The sequence below is a fragment of the Homo sapiens genome, chromosome 1 (genome assembly GCF_000001405.40).
Source record: "Homo sapiens chromosome 1, GRCh38.p14 Primary Assembly".
NCBI lineage: Eukaryota > Metazoa > Chordata > Mammalia > Primates > Hominidae > Homo > Homo sapiens.
Genome location: NC_000001.11, coordinates 13,046,251 through 13,066,623, shown reverse-complemented (window position 1 = coordinate 13,066,623; position 20,373 = coordinate 13,046,251). Strand labels below are relative to the sequence as shown.

At 44.9% G+C, this 20,373-nt stretch overlaps 2 protein-coding genes across 2 annotated transcripts; one reads left to right on the top strand and one right to left on the bottom strand.

Moving 5' to 3' along the window:
* Positions 1-3,745: 3,745 nt before the first annotated feature.
* On the bottom strand, positions 3,746-5,855 carry HNRNPCL3 (heterogeneous nuclear ribonucleoprotein C like 3). The gene is made up of 2 exons (NM_001382358.1): positions 5,694-5,855; positions 3,746-5,480 (listed from the first exon to the last, which is right to left on the bottom strand). The coding sequence occupies exon 2, from the start codon at positions 5,297-5,299 to the stop codon at positions 4,418-4,420; it is 882 nt and encodes a 293-aa protein (NP_001369287.1). The 5' UTR covers positions 5,300-5,480; positions 5,694-5,855; the 3' UTR covers positions 3,746-4,417.
* A 4,193-nt stretch (positions 5,856-10,048) lies between these two features.
* PRAMEF27 (PRAME family member 27) lies at positions 10,049-17,148 on the top strand. The gene is made up of 4 exons (NM_001300891.2): positions 10,049-10,210; positions 12,949-13,257; positions 13,925-14,506; positions 16,255-17,148. The coding sequence occupies exons 2-4, from the start codon at positions 12,965-12,967 to the stop codon at positions 16,814-16,816; spliced, it is 1,437 nt and encodes a 478-aa protein (NP_001287820.1). The 5' UTR covers positions 10,049-10,210; positions 12,949-12,964; the 3' UTR covers positions 16,817-17,148.
* The last annotated feature ends 3,225 nt before the right edge of the window (positions 17,149-20,373 follow it).

Genomic DNA, 20,373 nt, shown 5'->3' with positions numbered 1-20,373 from the left:
GGAAGGTCTTTCGATTGGCTTACATCCTGTCCCTGAGCAAAGTGTCTGATCATGAGTTCATGAGTGCCTCAAACCCCACAACTACTGATGAAGGCTTCACCCACTGACAGTGAGAAGGACGCTGATTTGATTCTGATCATGAAGTTTTGCTGGTTGTCTTGCAAGGAATACGTTTTATCCTGTTATGTTGTCATCTAAAGCCAATGATTGTAACCTCTGTCTTGTCCCGTCCAATGGAAAAAAACAAAAACAAAAACTCAATTCTATTTGAGCCTTGCCAGGTCAATAAGACAAAAGAAAATTTAAAAACAAACTGATAGGAGGAGTCCCATTCCCTTCTTTTAACCTTTCTTACAAAAGCATTCCAACTTGTAACAGACTTTGGAAAACACCCACTTTGTCAGTGTGTGTCTTCCAGGTCAATCCTCACATTTAGCTTCCAGTGAAGCTTTCGTTAATTATTTCTACCTCAACAGCCTTATCTTCTATTGACACAAGGTTGTATGGTAATGGTTTGAATTGGGGTGGGAAGAAAAAATATTTCTATGTCTTTTATAAAGTAATCCTTGCATGTCATCTCCATAGAAGAATGAGTAGGTTCCTCTCCAAATATGTCCTGAGTATTGATGCACCCAATAAACAAAACTAATATTTATTTCATATACTAGAGCTATAGATGCATTCTATTTCCCTCTAGAATCTCCAATGAACCAATATCTAGTTTCAGTAAGTTTCTCTGATTATATGGCAGAGGGTAACATGGTCATGTTCTGATTCTGTGTCTATGTCGATAACTATAGCGTTCCAGCCTTCATAATATGCATCAAACCAGAGTTTATTCTAGTGTGAGTCTGGCACACCATCTAGATTAGACCCAGTTACACTAATGTTTTCTATGCATAGAGATAAGTTACCAGTAATGAAATCAATAATAGTCATAGACCACTCATTTGCACCTATAGCTTCTTCTCAATGCCAAGTCATTTAATTATCAATATTAACCAACCTACCAAAGGAAGGATAACAAATCTTATCATGAATTTAGCATCCTCAATTGCTACCCAACTGTGTACGAAAGCAGGTTGTAGTATTAAGTGTGATCCTTCCCTTTCATCTAAATGACTCCATAGCCAGCAATTGCTTTGGTTAGTGAGAGTGGCTACATTTTGAACAGAAGATCTTAGAAAGTGTTTGGTTTGAGTGGTGAAAGTACCTAACAACATAAAATATAGGTTTGATAATTTTGTGTTAATACAAAACAAAACCAAGTCTCAGTCAATGGAAGAAGATCAAATGGAGTCTTGTTCCATTGTCTTGGAAAAGCTGTCTACCAGGTGATGATGTGTGCTTCTAGGGAAGGCTTTTCCTCAGATATCCTTAAGTTTAAGTCATCTGGTACAGTCCCATCCAATGCTGTTCATGGGCAGATTTCCCTTGGTGTCATTTCTAAAGGATGCAATCTCCAAATGCTAGGGCATGAAGGTCTAAGCATCACTGAAAGCCTCCTTCACCTAGTGGAAATAGTCTTTCAAATACTGCATCAAGGTCTTGCAGTATTGATTCATATTGTTACTGAACGATGGGCTCACTCTTCTAAGTGCATAGAACCCAATACTATGACACCATGCTTGAGAAAAGTAAAAAAGATTCAACCAGGCATGGTGGCTCACGCCTATAATCCCAGCACTTTAGGAGGCTGAGGCAGGCAGATCCCAAGGTCAGAGGTTTGAGACCAACCTGGCCAACATGGAGAAACCCCCTTTCTGCTAAAAATACAAAAGTTAGCTCAGTGTGGTGACATGTGCCTGTAATCCCAGCTACTCAGGAGGCTGAGGCAGGAGAACCACTTGAACCCAGGATGCAGAAGTTGCAGTGAGCCAAGGTAGCACCATTGTACTCCAGCCTGGGCAACAGAGACTCTGTCTCTAAACAAAAAATAAAAAGAATGCAGTCTCCTTTATTGGTTCAGCTAATTTTAGTTTCAAGATACAGTTTGTTCACTCAACCTTTGTAGAATACGAAGGATAATGAAGTTAATATTAGTGCCATTGGATCAGTAAAATCTTACCTGTGTGATAACCTGCCCAGTAACTGAGTTCTCCTCCCATTGGAGATTTCTCCAGAGATGCTCCAGAAAGGAAGCAAATTTTATAATCATTTTTTTTGACTATGACTGTGGCATCAGCCTTTCTAAAAAGGTAATCTACAACCCATCCTGAAAACGGACACACAATCACAAGAATTGTAGCCTTTTTACATGGCTCACTGACATCATTGGTCCACGACAACCCCGTTTCTTGCAGCTATATGTGTGTATGTCTACCTATTCATATCTGTATCTATTTCCATTTATTACCATGATTCACTTCCACTCTCCTTTCCATAGACAGCCACTCTACTCTTTGACCTAGCCTTGAATTTGCTTGTGACCTCATGGAACATAAGTATATGGAAAGCATATAGACTATATACTTGCATTTTGTATGTGTATTTATTTAAATCCACATATATGTTATAGCGTATGGTGCTACAGAAGAGGACCTCACAATTAATTGTCCAGTCCCAGACACTTTGGAGAGAATAGACATGCTGTTATAATAATTATTATTATTTTTGGAGATAGTGTCTGGCTCTGTGGCCAGGCTGGAGTGCAATGGCATGATCTCGGCTCACTGCAACCTCTACCTCTTGGGTTCAAGTGCCTCTCCTGCCTCGGCCTCCTGAGTACCTGGGATTACAGGTGCCCGCCACCACGCCTGGCTCTTTTTTGTATTTTTAGTAGGAATGGAGTTTCTCCATGTTGGCCAGGCTTGTCTTGAACTCCTGACCTCAGCTGATCCACCCGCCTCAGCCTCCCAAAGTGCTGGGAATACAGGCCTGAGCCACTGCACTCGGCCTCTCATGTGCCTTTTTAAATTGATGGGAAAATGACACCCAGGATAATTTATGGCCATTGTGGGAATTATTGGAAATCTTTAAGACTGTTTTTCTTACAAAACCACAATTGTAGGATTAAACAGTCTGAATGGGATGCTAGCACGTAGAGCCTTCTAAACTCTCTTTCTCTTCTTTTTTTGGGGAATTTGGGATCTGCCTACTGATTACAATTAATTGGTTTTCTTAAAAAACTGTTTGGTTAAGATTTTTTTTTTTGACAAGGTCTCACTCTGTTGCCCAGGCTGGAGTACAGCAGTGGTGTGAACATGGCTCACTGCAGCCTCAATCTTCTGAGCTCAAGGGATTCTCCCACCTCAGCCACCCAAGTAGCTGGGACTACAGATCCATGCCACCATGCCCGGCTAATTTTTTAAAAAAGAAGCAGGGCGTTGGTGGCTCACTGGTGTAATCCCAGCACATTGGGAGGCCAAGGCAGGTGGATCACTTGAGGTTAGGAGTTCAAGACCAGCCTGGCCAACATGGTGAAACCCTGTTTCTACCAAAAATATAAAAATTAGCCAGGCATGGTGGCGGGTGGCTATAATCGCAGCTACTCAGGAGGCTGAGGCATGAGAATCGCTTGAGCCTGGGAGGCAGAGGTTGGAGTGAGTTGAGATCATGCCACTGCACTCCAGCCTGGGTAACAGAGCCAGATACCATCCCCACCCCTCAAAACAAATGTTTTGTAGAGATAGGGTTTTGCCATGTTGCCCAGGTTGGTCTCGAGCCCCTGGGCTCAAATGATCCTCCTGCCTTGGCCTCCCAAAGTGTTGGAATTGTAGGCATGAGTCACTGCTCCCACCAAGAATTTTTTTCTTTAAATTCCTGGTTTAATAAGGACTTGTTTATTTTGAGGAAAAAAGGTCCCAAACATGGAGCTGTTCACAAAAATAACCCACAGTATCAACTTTAGAAAACACATTTTAAGAGTATAACACTAATTATTTTTCTGAGGATGCATTTGACATGCCAACTCTCATTCACAAAAATACATTGTTAGATTTTTGTTGAACTGCCCCACACAGCACACTGACATGGGGTGTAACACACATACTTCTAACTCCAAGCTGCTTTCAGGAGCTACTCAACTCAATGAGATTGCCTTTGCAGTTAGGGAAGCAACTATTGAACTTATGTATAAATGAAAAGAACTGTATTCCCTGCATAACAAGAGATTATTTTGGAGACAGTTGATAAAAACCATACATCCTTTTTACTGTTAAGTCATAAGGAGGTATCTAAATTAAAAGCAAAAATTGCAGGGTAAGACTTAAGAAAACTTCTAGGAGCATCAAGGGAAGTGAAAATGGAACTAGGTGCAGGGCAATATGAATTAATGAATGTGGGAAGGACAAGGATGGGGAGAACAGTAAGCATGTGCTGAAGATGCTAAGGGAGAGGATCTGGTGAAAAATTTGATGTTAGACAAGCACCTAGGTAAAGAAACAATGGGATAAGATTTCTCAACCCCACTATGTGCTTAAGAGTCATCCTGGCCATTCGCCCTGTCTCTGTCATCCTCTCCTTCCTCAGCCCCTTTTTCATCATCCTTGATCAACTCCAGCTGGTTGTCCCCCTGATCTTCATTATCATCATCACACAGTAGGTCCCCCTCCTCAACAGAGTCATCTGCACCCCCCTCAGACTCCATCTTCACGTGAGTCTTATCCTTCTTCGAGGAGCTGCTGGTCTGCTCCTCTTCAGACTTAGCATTCTTTACCTCTACTCCTTGCTTGCAATGTTCCTTTTCAATTTTTTCCAGGTTTTCCAGGAGAGAATCCACTTTCTGTTTTATCTGGGTCAACTCCTGCTTAATGGCCTGAAGGTCATCTCCTTTCAGCTTTCCAGACTTGGAAGATCCCCGCTTTCCACTCTTAGAATTGAAGCCACTTTTGCCCCTTCGTGAGGTGTTTCCTGATATGCGCTGGCGTTTCGAGGGCACTACAGCCAGAGCAATGGGAGGAGGAGGAGGTACACGTGCTGGGAAACTGTACATCCCACCATAATAATCCCGTTGCAAGTTATAGTCCAAGTCAAAAGAGGAGCCGTACATCTCTGCTGCTGATCGTTTCACACCTGCGTTTCCTCGGTTCACTTTTGGCTCTGCAGCCAGGTTAATATCTACAACCTGGCTAGCAATCATTCTGCCATCCTCTCCTGCTACAGCAGCCCGGGCATTTTTCTCCTTATCATATTGAACGAAGGCAAAGCCCTTATGAACAGAGCAGCCCGCAATTTTGCCATACTTGGAAAAGATCGCCTCCACATCCGATTTCTTGACAACAAGAGTGTTGAGATTCCCAATGAACACACGGGAGTTCATGGAGTGAGGATCCATCTTGTTGGTAACGTTGCTGGCCATTGTGTTGGATGATAAGGTTTCTCAAAAAGCCAAAAACAGGAGGCGGGAGGGAGAAGAGATTCGATTCTAAGTCTCCTACTGCCGGGTTCTACGTGGAGAAGCTGACTGCGGCTCGAGGCCAGAAATGCAGCCAAACCAGCTCAGTCTTCGTCTCTTCACAAAATGGCTCCCAACAAGAATTCTGAAATGACGTAAAGAAAAGCACAATCAACATTTTTGAAATAAAGACAAAACTGCATTTAGAAAAAAAAATCAAAGCTTCAAAGTGTTCATATGAAAAAAAGAAAAAAAAGACAGGATATAGCTCTGCTCTGTCGTAGGCTGCACTGTCACCATGCTACATCGGCTGACTGTAGGTCCCATGGGAGTGTCCTTACAGAAATTAGTGACTTACCAGATCTGGGCTCAGTTTGCAGGGTGTTCAGACCTCAGGAAGAACCAAGCAGGAACTCCAGGCTTGAAGACTTTGGGTCTCTCCTGTGGGTCTTTAGAAGCTTTTATTGACCTTTCTAATCACAACTCCCACCCACGCCCTTCCATGTATGCACTGCTAGCTTCCAATCAAAAAGCAATATCTCATTGCATTTCTGAAGTTCCACCCAGCTAATCCTGATTGGGTTTTTGGCTTTCCCCAGATTAATGGATTGAACCAAATATCCATTCATATCACATACCCATATTCATTTCATGAATCAAGAAATTGACAGCATTAGGGATAGAGTGGAAATCAAGAATTCATTCATTTAAGGCCAGCTGAGTTGGCTCATGCCTGTAATCCCAGCACTTTGGGAGGCCAAGACAGGCGGATCACCTGAGGTCAGGAGTTCAAGACAAGCTTGACCAATATGGTGAAACCCTGTCTCTACAAAAATACAAAATTAGCCGGGCATGATGGCGGCTGCCTGTAATCCGGATACTTGGGAGGCTGAGGTGGGAGAATTGCTTGAACCCAGGAGGCTGAGGTTGCAGTGAACCGAGATTGCACACTGCCCTCCAGACTGGGTGACAGAGGGAGACTCTGTCAACAACAACAACAACAACAACAACAACAACAGAATGCCTTCATTCACGAACTCCACAAGCACTGATGGAATTTTACTGATATGTCACCTTCATAGCCCTGGGTGTGAGGCAGGGAAGGGGTTGATCTGTTCTGGACATTAGACAGAAAAATAAAACCTGAGAATAGTGTTGTTGGGAGATCTTTGGCCACATCAATATTTTAAAAATGCTTTATAGTTAAAATAGCTTCCTGACCTTCCTTAACCTGAACTGCTTGGTTCCCTAGAAGCAGAAATTGATCATATTAGAACCCAAACTCATACCAACCTTGACCTTCATGAAGTACTCAAGTGTTTCTGCTCTTCTTCCTCATGTGATGTAGAAAGTATTAAAAGTGATGAGTTTAGGCCGGGCACGGTGGTTCACGCCTGTAATCTCAGCACTTTCAGAGGCCGAGGTGGGTGCATCACCTGTGGTCAGGAGTTCCAGACCAGCCTGGGCAACATGGTGAAACTCTGTCTCTACTAAAAATACAAAAACTAGTTGTGTGTGGTGGCCTGTGCCTGTAATTCCAGCTAACTGGGAGACTGAGGCAGGAGAATCACTTGAACCGGGAGGCAGAGGTTGCAGTGAGGCGAGATCGCACCATTGCACTCCAGCCTGGAAAGCAAGAGTGAAACTCCATCTCAAAAAAAAATTAATAAATAAATACATTATAAATAAATAAATTAATTAATGCTTTAAAGAAAAAAGAAATAAACTTTGCCTACAAATTTCATATGCAATTGAATACCTCTTAAATTTTGATGTGAACCGACCAGGCATGGTGGCTGAGGCCTGTAATCCCAGCACTTTGGGAGGCCGAGGCGGGCAGACCACGAAGTCAGGAGATTGAGACCATCCTAGTTAACATGGTGAAACCCCGTCTTTACTAAAAATACAAAAAATTAGCCAGGTGTAGTGGCATGCACCTGTAGTCCCGGCTATTTAGGAGGCTAAGGCAGGAAAATTGCTTGAACCGGGGAGGCAGAGGTCGAAGTGAGCTGAGATCGTGCCACTGCATTCCAGCCTGGTGACGGAGCGAGACTCCATCTCAAAAAATAAATGAATAAAATAAATAAATCAATAAAAATATTGTGACAGGAACCAACATTGCTCAACTTGTACACTAATGTCTTACAAAATCCTTTCCTTGTCACCTTCAAATCTCCATTTCAAATGCTACACTCTGCATAACTCTACCACTTTGTTGCCATTTTCTGATGATGGAGAAGACCATACGTGTGTGTGTGTGGCATCAGAACTATTGACTCCTCCTATTGATGTTTAAGATATTCCATTACACAAACCTGGGCTCATACTTTTTGTTGTTAGATCTTATGCCAAAAATGTAGGCAAAAAATGCCAAGCAGGAAATGCTATCACTTCTGAAGATGAATTCATAGAGATGGAAATTCTTTCAGAATTTATTTTTCCAGCTTTTTTCTTTGTTTGTTTGTTCGTTTGTGTTTGTTTGTTTTGAGACGGAGTCTCGCTCTGTCACCAAGTTGGAGTGCAGTGGTGAAATCTTGGCTGACTGCAACCTCCTCCTCCTGAGTTCAAGCGACTCTCATGCCTCAGTCTCTCGAGTAGCTAGTACTATGGGTGGGCGCCACCATGCTCAGCTAATTTTTGTATTTTTAGCAGAGACAGGGTTTCACCATGTCGGCTAGGATGGTCTCAATTTTTTGGCATCGTGATCTACCTGCCTTGGCCTCCTGAAGTGCTGGGATTAGAGGTGTGAGCCACCACCGTGCCCGGCCTTTTTTTTTTTTTTTCCTTTTGAGATGGAGTCTCACTCTATTGCCCAGGCTGGGAATGGGACTCCTCCTATCAATTATTTTTTTAAATTTTCTTTTGTTTTATAGACCTGACAAGGCTCAAATAGAGTTGACTTTTTGTTTTTGTTTTTTCCATTGGAAGGGACAAACAGAGGTTACAATCATTGGCTTTAGATGACAAGATAAAAGAATAAAACATATTCCTTGCAAGACAACCAGCAGAACTTCATGATCAGCATCAAATCAGTGCCTTCTCACTGTCAGTGGGTGGAAGCCTTCATCAATACTTGTAGAGTTTGAAGCACTCATGAACTCATGATCAGACTCTTTACTCAGGGACAGGATGTAAGCCAAGCGAAAGACCTTCCATAGGTGGTGAATTTGGAAGCCTGCCCAATGTGACCTGCAAGTCTTGCTTCACTCCCAGGTTCCCATTAAAAACCCAGCTCAACCCTGACCAGCTCCACCCTCACTTCCATTTGTAATTTTGACATGACTTTATTAAAGGACCATCAGGTTCCTATGCCTGCTGCACAGTAGTTTAGCAATATTCTGAGACAGCAGGGTTTGCAGCAGAGAGTTTAATGATCACAAGGTGGCTGAATGAGAAGCTAGGAGGAGATCCTCAAATTCATCTCCCCAAGGAGTACTGAAGGTTTCCAGTGGATCCTGGATAGCAAGGGGCCAGAAAGTTGGGGTAGCGGTAAGAGGGAAGAAGTCAACAGGATGTAGAAACTGCATTCTTTGGTGAGTTGGTGCATTGCATGGCCCTTCAGATCAGCTGGCATCAGCAGTTTCACTGACATGCAGAACCTGAAAGAATATCTCAGATGAAAAAGTTAATGTTTTACAATGCTTAAATGGTTGTCTGCAGGGAAGTTAAGGGGAACTGTAATCTAAGGTCTATATGATTTTGGAACAGTAGGTTGCGGCAACCATGAGGAACCAGGTCAGAGAGCAAGAAGACCTCCTGATGAATGCTGAATGTGTTGCAAGCTTGGTTTATTTTTGTTTCTCTCCCTCCCTTCTTCACTGATTAAATTTATAAATTTTAGAGATGTGGTTTCAATTTCTTCCAAAGAAGCCTTAACCTAAGCCCTGAGACCACTCACGCCCTCAGTGGCACCTCTCCTCCACCAGAACGAGCATGTAATCTGCTACCTTAGGTTATACAAAATCCCAAAGACCATTCAGTACATTGAGATTTTTATTCTGATTTCGTAGGGACGACTCCTCTGTTTTTAAAAAGTTTTAAAGTAGAAAGCATTTTTATATTTTGATGTGGCCAAAGATCTCCTAACAACACTACTTTCAGATTTTATTTTTCTGTCTAATGTCGTAAACAGATCAAATCCTTCCCTGCCTCACACTCAAGACTATGAAGTTCACATATTAATAAAAAAAAATCAGTGTTTGTGGAGTTCATGAATGAATGATTTTTTTATTTTTTGACAGAATCTCCCTCTGTCACCCAGACTGGAGTGCAGTGGCACAATTCTGGCTCACTGCAACCATTGCCTCCTGGGTTCAAGCAATTCTCCTGCCTCAGCCTCCTGAGTCGCTGTGTTTCAGGCACCTGCCATCATGCCGGGCTAATTTTTGTATTTTTGTATTTTTGTGGAGACGGGGTTTCACCTTTTTGACCTGACTGGTCTTGAACCCCTGACATCAGGTGATCTACTCACCTTGTCCTTCCAAAGTGCTGGAATTACAGGTATGAGCCACCTTGCCCACCAGTGAATCAATGTATTCTTGACTTCTACCTTATCCCTAACACTGTCAATTTCTTGCTTCACGAACTGAATATAGATATGTGATATGAATGGATATCTGACTCAATCCATTAATCTGGGGAGAGCCAAAAACCCAATCAGGATTAACTGGGTGGAGCTTCAGAAATGCAATCAGATATGGCTTTTTGATTGGAAGCTAGCAGTGCACACGTGGAAGGGCGTGGGTGGGAGTTGTGATTAGAAAGGTCAATAAAAGCTTCTAAAGACCCACAGGAGAGACCCAAAGTCTTCAAGCCTGGAGTTCCTGCCTGGTTCTTCCTGAGGTCTGAGCACCTTCTAAACTACATCCAGATCTGGTAAGTCACTAATTTCTGTAAGGACACTCCCATCTGACCTAGAGTCAGTCAGTCTGGGATGGTGACAGTGCAGCCTACGATGGCACAGAGCTATATCCTGTCCTTTTTTATATATATATATGAACAATTTGAAGCTTTGAATTTTTTCCTCTAAATGCAGTTCTGTCTTTATTTCAAAAAAGTTGATTGTGCTTTGGTTGATGCCATTTTAAAATTCTTGAAGGGAGCAGTGACTCACGCCTTTAACCCCAACACTTTGGGAGGCCAAAGTGGGAGGATCATTTCAGCCCAGGGGTTTGAGACCAACCTGGGCAACATGACAAAAACCCTCCTCTACACAACGTTTTTTTTGAGGGTGGAGATGGAGTCTCACTGTGTTGCCCAGACTGGAGTGCAGTGGCACGATCTCAACTCCCTGCAACCTTTAACTCCTGGGTTCAAGCAATTCTCATGCCTCAGTCTCCATCCTCAGAAGCTGGTGTCACAGACATCTGAAACCATGCCTGGCTAATTTTTGTATTTTTAGTAGAGGTGGGGTTTCACCACGCTGGCCAGGTTGGTCTCGAACACCTGACCTCAAGTGATCCACCTGCCTTGGCCTCCCAAAGTGCTGGGATTACAGCTGTGAGTCACCATGCATCTGTAGTCCCAGCTATTTGGGTGGCTGGTGTGGGAGAATCACTTGAGTCCAGAAGATTGAGGCTGCAGTGAGCTATGCTCACACCACTGCTGTACTCCAGCCTGGGCAAAAGAGAGACACTCTGTCCAAAAACAAAAACAAAATCAATCAAAAAGGATCTTTGACCTTAATTTTAAACCAATCACATCCTCTTCCACCCAAATGGAGACATGGCTGTGGGGGGTGCCTGCCTGTAGTCCCAGCTACGTGGAAGGCTGAAGCATGCGAATTGCTTGAATCTTGGAGGCAATCTTGGAGGTAACAGTGAGCCAAGATGGTGCCACTGCACTCCAGCCTGGGCGACGAAGTGAGACTCAGCTCCCTCAGCACCAAAAAAAATTATATGACCCAGGTGATCATCGGATACATGAAGATTTCTATTGTGTTTTCTTAGGGACTGTCATCTCTGTCTTTGAAAACTGTTTTAACTCTGAAATATTTTGATAAATTTGATGTGGCCAAGGATCCCTCAACAAAGATACTTTCAAGTTTTCTTTCTTTCTGTCTAATATCAGGAAGAGATTCAACCCTTCCCTGTCTCACACTCAGGACTTTGAAGGACACATATTAGTGGAAGTCCATGTTTGTGAAGGGAATCGGTGAATGAGTCCTGGACTTTCACCCTATCCCTAAATCTTTCATTTTGATGGATTAATATCTAATTCGATCAGTTATTCTTTAAGAAAGCCAAAAATCCAATAAGGATTAACTGGGTAGAGATTAAGAAGTCTAGTCAAATGTAGCTCTCTCTGTCTCTCAGTTCAATCTAGCCTATTCCCCAGGCTGGAGTGGAGTAGTATAATGTCAGCTCACTGCAACTTCTGCCTCCTGGGTTCAAGTGATCCTCCTACCTCAGCCTCCCTAGTAGCTTGGACTACAGGCGCAGACCACTGCACCTGGCTAATTTTTGCTGTCTTAGTAGAGGCAGGGTTTTACCATGTTGGCCAGGCTCGTCTTGAACTCCTGATCTCAGATGATCCACCTGCCTCGGCCTCACAAAATGCTCAGATTACAGGTGTGAGTCACTGCACCCAGCCAAAGTGGTTCAGTTTGAATATGTGTAAGAGGTGTGCATTGGAAACATCTATCTTGAGAATGATGCATAACAGTGTCACATAGCTTTCAAAGCTTCTCACTGAAATTTTCAATAACGAGGCTGGGGCAGAGGCTCACACCTATAATCCCAGTATGTTGGGAGGCCAAGAGGGGTAGATTGCTTGAGACTAGGAGTTCAAGACCAGCTTGGACAACATAGCGAAATCCACTGTCTTTACAAAAAGTCAAAACATAAAAGATGAGCTGGGTGTGGTGATGCATAACTGTGGTCCCAGCTACTTGGGAGGCTGAGGGGGAAGAATCCTTTGAGCTGGGAGGTCAAGGCTGCACTGAGCTGAGATCCCACCACTACACTCCAGGCTGGGTGACAGAGCAAGACCCTGTCAGAAAGAGTGAGAGAGGGAGAGAGAGAAAGAGAGAGAGAATGAGAGAAGGGATGCAGGGAAAGAAGACAAGAAAGAAAGAAGGGAGAGAGAGGGGGAAAGAAAGAAAGAAGGGAGGGAGAGAGGGAAAGAAGGAAAGAAGAAAGAGAGAGAAAGAGAAAGCAAGCTTAAATAATGAAAAGAAAACAAATAGAACCTGTTCTAGGGATGTCCCATGAATGTTCCCAACAAACTTATTTGTAGGAACTGAAAATGTGGGCATGTAGGCTTGTGACACTCCCATTCCCATTGTTTTAGAACCTTGAGTAATCAGTAATTTCCCCCAATGGTAGGAGGGGTTCACTTTCAGGTTCCTCCACACTCACTAGTCACTGGATGGAGCACTGGATAGAAAGGAAGGGCTCGTGGTGACCCTGCTTCCTCACTGCTTCGGAGACGCTCATGCTGATGCAGCAGAGGCACAATGCTGGCTTAATGGCCACTGAGTACAGGGCAGAATTGGAGTAAACTGAGGGCTGTTTCACCATTGCCAGAGCAGTGAGTTTGGCCATAGGAGAAGATGAGATTGCATGGGCTTGGCCTGAGAGTGATGCCTTTTCTCTGGGTTTGTCCTCTGGAAGTTTTCCCTGCAGATTCATGAAGATGAGCATCCGGACTCCACCCAGACTCCTGGAGCTTGCGGGGCGGAGCCTGCTGAGGGACCAAGCCTTGGCCATGTCCACCCTGGAGGAGCTGCCCACAGAACTTTTCCCCCCACTGTTCATGGAGGCCTTCAGCAGGAGATGCTGTGAGGCCCTGAAGCTGATGGTGCAGGCCTGGCCCTTCCGCCGCCTCCCTCTGAGGCCTCTGATAAAGATGCCTTGTCTGGAGGCCTTCCAAGCTGTGCTCGATGGGCTTGATGCACTGCTTACCCAAGGGGTTTGTCCCAGGTGAGGTGGCCCAGGTGGGCTGGTGGGGAGGGCCCAGGTGTCCAACTGAAGGAACAGCTGGGTCATGTGAAGTGAGGAGGCCCAAGGGGGATGGTGGTGGTGAGGAAGCCGAGAGGACTTGGCCATTCACCAGCTCCTCAGGGAAAGCACTGCTCACCACGCAAGGTCCATGGAGGTAACAGGAACCTCTCCTCTAATGGCACTGAAAGGCACCATGAAAAGTGAGAACTGGGCCGGGCACGGTGGCTCACAATGTAATCCCAGCACATTGGGAGGCTGAGGTCAAGAGTTGGAGGCCAGCCTGTCCAACATGGTAAACCCCAACTCTACTAAAAATACTAAAATTAGCTGGGCATGGTGGTGGGCTCCTGTAATCCCAGCTACTTGTGAGGTTGAGGCAGGAGAATCATTTGAACCCAGGAAGCAGAGGTTGCAGTGAGGTGACATCACACCACTGCACTCTAGCCTGGGCGACAGAGGGAGACTTGGTCTCAAAAAAAAAAACAAAAAAATGTGGAAGTGGGTAGGATCCAAGGGGAGAACAGAGTGAAGAAAAGTCAGAGAGAGGGACAAGAAGCAGGGAGGGGAGGAGCTGCTATCCAGGATGTGGAGTTTAAATTCAGAAATGAGTTCTTAAATTCTCAGTCTCACCTCTATTTTCCCACAGGAGGTGGAAACTTCAAGTGCTGGATTTACAGGATGTCTGTGAGAACTTCTGGATGGTTTGGTCTGAAGCTATGGCCCGTGGGTCCTTCCTCAATGCCAAGAGGAACAAAACACCAGTGCAGGACTGTCCAAGGATGAGAGGACAGCAGCCCTTGACTGTGTTCGTAGAACTTTGGCTCAAGAACAGGACTCTGGATGAATACCTCACCTACCTCCTTCTATGGGTCAAGCAGAGGAAAGATTTACTACACCTGTGCTGTAAGAAGCTGAAAATTTTGGGAATGCCCTTCCGCAATATCAGAAGCATCCTGAAAATGGTGAACCTAGACTGTATCCAGGAGGTGGAAGTGAATTGCAAGTGGGTACTGCCCATCCTGACACAGTTTACCCCATACCTGGGCCACATGAGGAATCTTCAGAAGCTCGTTCTCTCTCACATGGATGTCTCTCGCTACGTTTCCCCAGAGCAGAAGAAGGAGATTGTTACCCAGTTCACCACTCAGTTCCTCAAGCTGCACTGCCTCCAAAAGCTTTATATGAACTCTGTTTCTTTCCTCGAAGGCCACCTGGACCAGCTGCTCAGGTGAGGGAGGGTGGTGAGCTTTCTCTGCAGACCACAGCAGAGCCTGTTTCACTAAACGCTAGTGGGCATCTACTGTGAGCCAGCCTATGAGGATGTAACAGTGAAGGGGACACTAGAATGTCCATACATTGTCCTGTTGGCGGCCCTGTCCTGAAATGGGTATCATGCAACCATCCCAATAGAGGCAGAGGGATCAGCTAGGGGAGATGCTATAGAGAGGTTGTCATACTAGGAAGCTAGCTACTGGGGGGTTCAGATCTAGTGAGGGTGCCTTTCTGAATTCTTCCTGAGGACGTGTGTCTAAGTTAAGATGATGAAAAATAGGCCAGGGGCGGTGGCTCATGCCTGTAATCCTATCACTTTGGGAGTCTGAGGCAAGAGGATAGCTTGAGCCTAGGAGTTTAAGACCAGTCTGGGTAACATCCCAAGACCCCTGTCAGAAGTGAAGAAATAAAAGTAAAAACAAACAAGATAACTTTTTTTTTTTCTGAGATGAATTTTCACTTTGATCATCCAGGGTAAAGTGCACTTGTGACATCTCAGCTCGCAGCAACTTCTGCCTCCCAGGTTCAAGCGATTCTCCTGCCTCAGCCTCTTGAGTGCCTGGGATTACAGGCATGAGTCAGCACACCTGGCTAATTTTTATATTTTAAGTAGAGACAGGGTTTCACCATGTTGGCCAGGATATTCTCCAACTCCTGACTTCAGGTGATCCGCCCACCTTGGACTCCCAAAGTGCTGGGATTATAGGCGAGAGCTACCACGCCCAGCCAACAAGATAATTTTTAAGCAGATGATGTAAAGTAGGGAAGTGAAGTGGGCACTGAAGAGGGGAATGCTCAGCAAACCTGCACATGTCAGAAAATCAGCTTTGTGCCCCATAGTTTGGTGAACATGAATGATCCCATCTCTAATTCCCTGTTGTAAAAGTGTTTTGAGCTCCAGGTAAATTAATTACCTAGGCAATGCATGATTCTGAAACAGAGGGTCAGGGAGCAGGCACAAAGAATGGTGAAAGTGATAGATGGTTTGCTGATGATACAGGCATGGCAGGGACGCCTACAGCCCGCCCACCCCAGCTGATGTTGCAGGATCCTGTCTGGGTTTGTCCTTTATGCCTGAATCTCCACTGGGCTTCTGTGGCCCAGGGATGTGGTTTTCTGCCTGACAGATGAGGAAAGGGAGCTTTAGGGATTCTGTGAACTTGATCCATTCCTATAAATGATGGTGAAATGACTCAGCCTCAAATGGAATTATTTTTTTTCCTTCTTTTTTTTTAATACAGAGTCTCTCTCTGTCACCCAGGCTGGAGTGTAGTGGCATGATCTCTGCTCACTGCAACCTACACCTCCTGGGTTCAAACGATTCTTCTGCCTCAGCTTCCCAAGTAGCTGGAATTGCAGGCTCCCCCCACCACACCTGGCTAATTTTTGGATTTTTAGTAGAGAGGAGGTTTTGCCATGTTCAGCAGGCTGGTCTCAAACTCCTGATCTCAAGGAATCCACCAGTCTCAGCCTCCCAAAGTTCTGGGATTACAGGTGTGAGTTACTGGGCCGGCTCTAAGGTGGAATTGACCTCGGTGGCAAAGCTCTTCATCACACATCATTCTAAGTGTTGACCATCAGGCCATCAGAATGACCCTGGACTTGGGCAAAATGGTCTCCATCCATTACCTTGAAGCCATTCCCCACCACCCTCCACTCACCCCTATGATTCCCCAGAATTAACTTCTTGCTCTCTCTCCCCAGCTGTCTGAAGACCTCGTTAAAGGTCCTCACAATAACTAACTGTGTGCTTTTGGAATCAGACTTGAAGCATCTATCCCAGTGCCCGAGTATCAGTCAACTAAAGACCCTGGACCTGAGTGGCATCAGACTGACCAATTACAGTCTTGTGCCTCTCCAAATTCTCCTAGAAAAAGTTGCAGCCACCCTTGAGTACTTGGATTTAGATGACTGTGGCATCATAGACTCCCAAGTCAACGCCATCCTGCCTGCCCTGAGCCGCTGCTTTGAGCTCAATGCCTTCAGCTTCTGTGGAAATCCCATCTCCATGGCCACCCTGGAGAACCTGCTGAGCCACACAATCATACTCAAAAACTTATGCGTGGAGGTGTATCCTGCCCCGCGGGAGAGTTATGGTGCTGATGGTACTCTCTGCTGGAACAGATTTGCTCAAATTAGGGCTGAGCTGATGAACAGAGTGAGGGACTTAAGGCACCCCAAGAGGATCTTTTTCTGTATTGATAACTGCCCTGACTGTGGCAACAGGTCATTTTATGACCTGGAGGCAGATCAATACTGCTGTTGAATGCCTGCCTATTTGGATGGGTATGTCAAACGCTTTCTTCTGGACACTTGGAAACTAAAACCTAGGTCTTAGGTACATCCTAAAGGGAGCACAGAACCCATCATTTCACACATAGGCTCTGAAAGTGGGAAAGGAAAGCTGATCAAGCAGGGGCAGGACTTGGGGGAAATGTTGCCATGGATTCGATGGGACTTTGGGGACCTGTATCCTGTAGAGTCGAAAATGGGAATCTGAATGTCTAGAGTGGAGTTCAGGCTTGAGAATACATGAGGGAGTTACTCTTGCATGGATGGTTGTAAAGAAACAATCAGAAATAAAGGAAAACTGAGCAGAATCTGTCTGGTGCCCTCTATTATTAAGTAACCTGTTTTCCAGTTTAAGCCTCAGGAATCTTCAGTTATTGATGGAAAAAACAAAAGGCACTGACTGAGTTGTCCAATCAATAAGATGCAGCCCAAGAAAATCAAGGCATTTAAATGAAATTTGGTTATTGTAATCAGTTTCCTCCCATTCTTTTATTGGAGACAGAGTTTCACTCTTGTTGCCCAGGCTGGAGTTTAGAGTGCAATGGTGCCATCTGAGCTGACTGCAACCTCCACCTGGGGTTTAAATGATTCTTCTGCCTCAGCCTCCCAAGTAGCTGGGATTACAAGCATGCACCACCATGCCCAGCTAATTTGTGTATGTTTAGTAGAGACAGGGTTTCCTCACTATGTTGGTCAGGCTGGTCTCAAACTCCTGACTTTGGGTGATTCAAGCAAGTAGGCCTACCAAAGTGCTGGGGTTACAGGTGTGAGCCACTGTGTCAGGCTTTTTTTTGTTTTTGTTTTTTAAAGGTCTCCTGTCACTCAGGCTAGAGTGCAGTGGCACAATCATACCTCACTGCAACCTAAATTTCCTGGGTTCAAGTGATCCTCCCACCTCAGCCTCCTGAGTAGCTAGGACTACAGCTGTGTGAGCCACCACACCTGGATACTTCTTTTTAGTAGAGACAAGGCCTCGCTGTCTTCCCCAGGCTGATCTGGAACTCCTGAGCTTGTGATTCTCCTGCCTTGGCCTCCCAAAATGCAGGGAGTATAGGCGTGGACCACCACGCTTGGGTTGGCCTCCTCTAGTTCTTCACTTCTTTAGATGTCTGTTAACTCCTTGTTAGTTTCTGTGGCTGTTCAGTGGGTTAATACACACTAGGTGGACACCAAAGGCCTGGAACATTACTGGGCAAGAACAGTGAGCCAATCCACACGGACAGCACCTTCTTCTCAGGGTCTTTCACCGCTAGCCAGATGCTGAGACCCTGCCCACTCCCTGTGAGTCTCCACATGCTTCCAGAAGCCTTATTTGGTGGATGTCAGCTTCACTGCACAAGGACCCACTCTCTTCCCACTGCCCTGGAAGGGGATGTCCATATTGTGTATTAGCTGGAGACTCTGGGCAGCATCAACCCTTGCTTGTTCTCCTGATGACCAGCAGCCCTTCTTGAATTAAACTGGTTGTAGCCAGTAAAGACAGCCACATTCCCTTTAAGTAAAATACTAAAACTATACAGGCATGTAACACTTTTTAAATATTTCCATCTGACATTTTAAAAGTTACATCTTTTTGGGGAGCTAGGTCAGATTGATGAGAGATTTTCTCATAACACCTCCCCTCTCTCCCTATGAAGGAAGAGACTAGTACTAGTGCAGCGTGTTCTGGAATCTGACAGCATCAAAGGGTGGATAACGATCAAGGGCCTGTGGGTGATGAGTGACCTTCCCTGTGCTGAGGAATTCTGCATAATGGGCACCCAAGTGAAGGATCCTGCTGAGTACTCAGGGGCTGGTGTTGCTGTCAGGGATGTTAGCCTAGAGCCTCAGCTTCCTGTAAAATGAGGATGATGATGTCCAACAGCTTATGGGACCTTGGTAGGATCCAATGAGATGGTTCATGTTTAGGGCTTGGCATGGGGTCTGGCATACAGTAAGATCAATACATCTTGTTCTTTTTTCTCTTCTCAGCAGAAGTCCCAGCACTTTTCATCTTTCAATCTCACCTCCTTTTCCTGATAATAGAGAGGCAACAAGAACTCAGGGCATGCAATGGGGCTCAACTTCTACTCTCTGCCACAATTTCATCATGATTCCCCCAAAGAGCAGAGCCCCAGGAGCCAGCAGGGGGCAGGGTGGGCATTTCTGGACTGGATTCATTCATAATAAGATCAAAATTTCCAATCCGTATGTCTCGGGTGCCATCTGCTGATAGATCCGACCAGATGGTATAATTGAGTGTTGCAAGGATTATATTTTATGGTGTTTTCAAAAATGTACTATTATGAGCCAGGTGCAGTGGCTCACGCCTGTAATTCCAGCACTTTGGGAGGCTGAGGCAGGTGGATCACCTGAGGTTGGGAGTTTGAGACCAGCCTGAGCAACATGAAGAAACCCCTTCTCTACTTAAAATACAAAAAATTAGCCAGGCGTGGTGGCGCACGTCTGTAATTGCAGCTACTCGATAGGCTGAGGCGGGAGAATCATTTGAATCTGGAGGTGGAGGTTGTGGTGAGCTCAGACTGAGCCATTGCACTCCAGCCTGGGCAACCCTAGCAAAACTCCATCTCAAAAAAAAAGATAAAATAAAATTTATTATTATGGCCGGGCATGGTGTCTCACACTTCTAATCCCACCACTTTGGGAGGCCAAGGCAGCCTCAGGATTTTGAGACCAGCCTGGCCAACATGGTGAAACCCCATCTCTACTAAAAATACACAAAATTTGCTGGGAGTGGTGGCATTCGCCTGTAATCCCAGGTATTCAGGAGGCTGAGGCAGGACAATCACTTGAACCCGGGAGGTGAGGGTTGCAATGAGACGAGATTGCACCACTTCACTCCAGCCTGGGCGACAGAGCATGAAAAAAAATTTACTATAATGTGAATACTATTAGAGTATAAATATTTGTGTTGTAATTTATGTATATGAAAGATTAGAACTTTTAAAGAATGCAACGTGATATTTCAAGAATGGTTAATGGCCAGGTGTGGTGGTTCATGCCTGTATTCCTGGCACTTTGGGAGGCCGAGGTGGGCAGATCACGAGGTCAGGAGTTCCAGACCAGCCTGGCCAACATGATGAAACCCGGTCTCTACGAAAAATACAAAAAATTAGCCTGGCGTGGTGACAGGTGCCTGTAATCCCAGATAGTCAGGAGGCTGAGGCAAGAGAATCGCTTGAACCTGCGAGGCAAAGGTTGCAGTGAGCCAAGAATGCACCACTGCACTCCAGCCTGGGTGAAAGAGGAAGACTCCGTCTCAAGGAGGGTGAGAAAAAGAATACTTAACTTGGTTTGAAATGTCAAAACAAATGAGATTTTAAAAACTAATTTTAAAGACACTGAACAATAATCATTTCTTCTTTAAAATATATTTAGAATAATACAATTTTAGCTTTGAAAGGAAACATTACAGTTTTAAAAAATATTGAGTTTATTTTATTTTATTTTATTTTATTTTATTTTATTTTATTTGGAGACAAAGTCTCACTCTGTTGTCCAGATTGGAGTGCAGTGGCATGATCACGGCTT